At 41.5% G+C, this 4,877-nt stretch overlaps 1 annotated feature.

Moving 5' to 3' along the window:
- Positions 295-1,270: an enhancer, noted in NCBI's record as "H3K4me1 hESC enhancer chr16:61615153-61616128 (GRCh37/hg19 assembly coordinates)". NCBI's record gives its function as "activates a minimal SCP1, AML or CMV promoter by ChIP-STARR-seq in naive H9 embryonic stem cells {active_cell/tissue: H9 hESC(naive)}" and the evidence as "EXISTENCE:reporter gene assay evidence [ECO:0000049][PMID:30033119]".

Genomic DNA, 4,877 nt, shown 5'->3' with positions numbered 1-4,877 from the left:
AATAGATAAAATATTTTCAAAAACATAAATTCAAAGTCTTACAGACAGAAAATGCAATTTTGAAAAAAAAAAAAGTTTAAAGACTTAGACTATCGGACATCAAAGCTGCTAAAAGGCAACAGCATTATGACTCTAGTCTCCCAGGCTAGAGTGCAGTGGCCTGACCATAGCTCACTGGAACCTCCATCTCCTGGGTTCAAGTGATCCTCCCATCTCAGCCTCCTGAGTAGCTAGGATTAATTAGCCCAGCTAATTAAAAGTAAAAATAAAAAATTATAGAACATAGTATCTCTCTGTTGCCCAGGTTGGTCTTGAACTCCTAGTCTTAAGCAATCCTCTCATCTCAGCCATCCAAAGTGCTGAGATTACGGGCTTGAAACAGCATGCCCAGTCCCTGGAAACATTTTCATGACAAAAATATAATTGCAAAAATGTGAGAAAATAATATTTTTATAACGGTTGTTGTGCTAATTAGTTATTCAAAATGGAAAAATGAAGAAACTTGATTACTTTCCACTTTGTGCAGATGGTGGTGGCGGCCTGTCTGGAGCAGCTGTTGTGGGGACATCATCTACAGCCGAGGAGGCGTGGGGTGCGTGCTTCACAGAGCAAGCAGGGACCGGGAACAGGTGGCACCGCTGCCCTCCACCAAGTTGGAGGGGCAGGAAGCCCGCACTTCCGGGTGCAGCTGCAGCCGCCCAGCCATGGTTCTGGACCCGAGCATCTCTGTACTCTCGGAGGCCCAGGAAACCCCCTGTCCCTGCAGGGTCGAAAGTGTCTGCGATCACTCCCAGTGCCCGCACAGGGACAGAGCAAAATTGTGGCTGAGCCCAGGCGCTTTCGCAACACGGCTGGGTGTGCACGTGCTCAGGGCAGTGCTGACACGATGGCCCCCTGCAACCTCAGCCCCCTCTGGACTTTAGGTGCCAATGAGCATGGGAAGGAGGTCGAGGCGGGGCTAAGGGTGGCTCCAGGTGGACCTGCAGGCGCCCCTTAGCATGAAAAACAGGGGCACCGTGGATGGCATGTTGACGGCAGGAGGAAGACAACAGGTTCCTGGGCTCAAAGGCTTGGGTTCCCATTCAAACCCCACCTTCAAGCCAGGGATGGCCTGAAGCCTGGGGGCCAGGCTGCCAGTTCCTGGTGGAGTCCACAGTGCGGAGTGAGAACTGACGGTGCTTTTTCCCAGCTCGCAGATGACTGCCCATAGACCAATCAGCATGAACTTCTTCCTTTATGAGTCCATAAAAACCCTGGACTCTGCCAAATTCTAACAGGCGTTGGGATGACCTGCCTGCAGAAAGGAGTTCTACCCTGCGCAGTCTCCTCTCTGCTGAGAGCTGGACACTCATCACTGTCACCTGGCTGCGGAAAGGAGCTACCCACTTCAGGTCTCCTGAGAGCTGTTCTGTCACTCCATAAAGCTACTCTCTCCTCCTTGCTCACCCTCCAGTTGTCACCTTATTCTTCCTGAACTTGGGATAAGAACTCCAGACTTGCCGAATGGTGGTACTGAAAGAGCAGTAACACAAACAGGGCTGAAACATGCCCTTCTTTGGGGCTCTGTGGTTCCTGGAGTCTCCAAGCTTCTGGTTGCCACTGCGTTCCCCTCATTCAGATGCAGGTGCCCGCAGCAAAAGCCACGTGCAGTACATCTGGTCCAGCCGCACCCTCACACAGAACACACAGTTGTGCTGGCGCCTGGAGCTGCCCGCCCTGTGTGCCTGGCTGTGTGCAGCGGCCGGACCCTGTGCTCGCTCACCCATACACCCCTCACCACTCTGCTCCTGGCTTACCGTTGGCAAGTATGGGATCCGGGCCAGTAGCGTGAGGTGAGCACAGCCTGCCAGGCGAGTGGGCAGAATGGGTCCAACGGGCACAAGCAATACTCAGGCAGAAGGTGCCGCCGGCCACAGAGGTTTCCGGCTAGTGATGTGACACCCCAAGGATCCCATGACAGTGCCATACACACATACCCATTTCCCCAATCAATTAGGTGGATTGTACGTCTGAAATAATAAAGTTTATATTTATTATTACAATAATAAATGTCTATGACCTTGAGGTAAGTAATGTCTGTGAGTTAAACATGGGCTAAACAATGTCTATGACCTTGAGGTAAGTAAAGCTTTCTTTCCGACAGGACCCAGAAAGTATCAACCGTAAGAAAAAAAAATCTCTAAATTGGAATTTATTGCATTTGACAACGTCTATTCATTCAAAGAGTCTATTAAGGGAGTGAAAATACAAATCACAGAGTGAAAAAAAAGGTTTGTAATAAATATAACTAAGAAAAGGGCTCCATTTCAGAATATATAAACAGCTTCTACAAATTAATAAAGACAGAAAATCTATTTTCAACAGTGGGCTAGAGATTTGAACATCTCTTCATTAGAGGCCCACAGTAGGTACTTGCAATGATTAATTTTATGTTTCAATTTGACAGGGCTAAGGGATGCTCAGCTAGTAAGGCATTATTGCTGGGTGTGTCTGTGGGAATGTTTCTGGATGAGATTAGCATTTAGATCAGTAGGCTGAGTAAAGAAGATTGTCCTCACTGATGTGGATGGGCATCATTTTATCCATTGGGGACCTCAATAGAACAAAAAGGTAAAGGAAGGATGTGTTTGCTCCCTGTTTGAGCTATGTTATCCCTCTCCTCCTGTGTTCAGACCTCAGTGCACCTGGTTCCCAGGCTTTCAGTCTCAGACTGAATTACACTACCAGCTTTCCTGGTTCTCCAGTTTACAGATGGCAGATCTTGGGATTTCTAGACTTCCATAATCATGTGAGTCAATTCCTTTAATAAATTTCTCTCTGTTTCTCTCTCTTTCATATATATATATATATCACTACCTACACACACAGACATCACATCACAACACACACATTCCCAATTCACTCTTTTTCTGTAAAATCCTGACTAATACAGCACTATATAAACATTTCTTGAATTTATATAGAAAAAAATGTAGTTAACGGATAAGGAAATAAAGACAGGGACTTTCAGGAATCTCAATAACCCAGCTCTTAAGTGGCTGTCTCTCTGAGACACACAGGCACTGTTCCATATTATCCAGGAAATAATTTTGTGCCAGAACACTTTTCTTGCCAATTGCTTCTGCATAATGTGAACTCTGCCTTAGCACCCTGGTCACGCACTCTCTGCAAGGCATAGGTGCAGGGAAACTAACATGAAATTTGAGTCTAAGATCTACTACTTTAATAGACATCATTTTTCTTTTGTTTAAACACACCATTTCTCTGATGGATAGAACTTTAAATGATTTCCACTTATAGGAGAGATCCCAATGTCTGCTTCACAGGAAGTGGAATTAGTCTTATCATGCACCCCAGGTGAACCATATGGGCCCAAACTTCATTGGCTGCCATCAGCTCATTACCCATGCTACAGCAGATGTGAAGCAGCAAATTATTAGGCCGTAGGGTGATGTCTAGAGTCAGTCATATTGTTCCGTTTTTCTACCTTTACTTTATCAAAGACCTGAGGAAAAAAAGAGTCATAAAGATTGTCTCCTTTGAACATAGGTATCTTTATATATATATCAGTAGCTCCTGGGGATATGATTATTAAGGATGGTGACTCAACTACAGGAGAAGGGTTTGACAAGTTCATCTCCAGGTTTCCTTCCATTGTTACCAGTACATGTTCTTAGTAAGAATTTAAGTCACAAAATTTCAGATATGTGCTTTTGTGTTGCCCTTCATATGAGAATGTAGATACAATTGCAATGACTCTAGAAATATTTGCAAACCAAATTACCTTTATCCCCCAAAATTTGCTCATGGATTCAGCCCTGTTATTTACATAACTCAATTAGAGGGAAAATACAAAACTTCCCATCTAACAGCAGCAGAATATTCATTTTTCTTTAGTGCATATGAAACATTCTCCAGCAGAGACCAAATGTTAAGACCCAAAATGAGTCTTTAAAAATTTAAGACGATGGACATCATATCTAGAACTATTTCTCATCACAATGGTATGAAACTAGATATCAATAACAAATGGAGTATTGAAAAATTTACAAAGATGTAAAAATTAATCTACCTGCTTCTGAACAACAACAAATGAATCAAAGGAGAAATCATAGGTAAAATTTAAAATGTCTTGAGACAAATGACAAAGAAACACAATATATCAAAACGTATGGGATACAGTAACAGCAGTTCTAAAAGGAAAGTTTATAGTGAGAAATGCCTACTTAAAAATAAAAAAAAATATTTCACACAAGTAGCCTAATATGATGCATTAAGGAACTAGAAAGAGAGAAACAAACTAAACCCAAAGTTAGCAGAATAAAGAAAAAAAATACAAATGAGAACAGAAATAGAAAATAGAAAAAACACAAAAATTAATAAAAAGAGTTGATTTTTAAAAAAATACTTAAGATTTACAAACTCTTAGCTAGACTAAGAAAAAAAATGAGTGACTAGAAAAAATAAAATCAAAAATTAAACTGAAGATATTACAACAGATGAATTAGAAATAAAAATGATTTTAAGAGACTTATGAAAAAATACTATATATGCCAAAAACTAAGTAACCTACAGGAAACAGATACATTCTGAATAAAATATAACCTACCATGATTGAATCAGGAAAATGGAAAGCTTGAATAGATCAGTAGCAAATAGAGATTAAAGAAGTAATAAAACAACTAAAAAAGAAAGCCAAGAATCAGATGTCTTCATGGCTGAATTCTACAAAGAAGAATTAATACCAATACTCCTTAAACTCATCTAAAAAATAGAGCTAGAGAGATTATTTCTAAACACATTTTATAAGGTCAGCATCACCTTGATACCTAAACCAGATAAAGACATCACAAGAACAGAAAACTATAGGACAATTT

The sequence above is a fragment of the Homo sapiens genome, chromosome 16, assembly GCF_000001405.40.
Source record: "Homo sapiens chromosome 16, GRCh38.p14 Primary Assembly".
NCBI classification, from domain to species: Eukaryota; Metazoa; Chordata; class Mammalia; order Primates; family Hominidae; genus Homo; species Homo sapiens.
The sequence above is the reverse complement of the archived record's forward strand: the minus strand, read 5'-3'. Positions and strand labels throughout refer to the sequence as shown.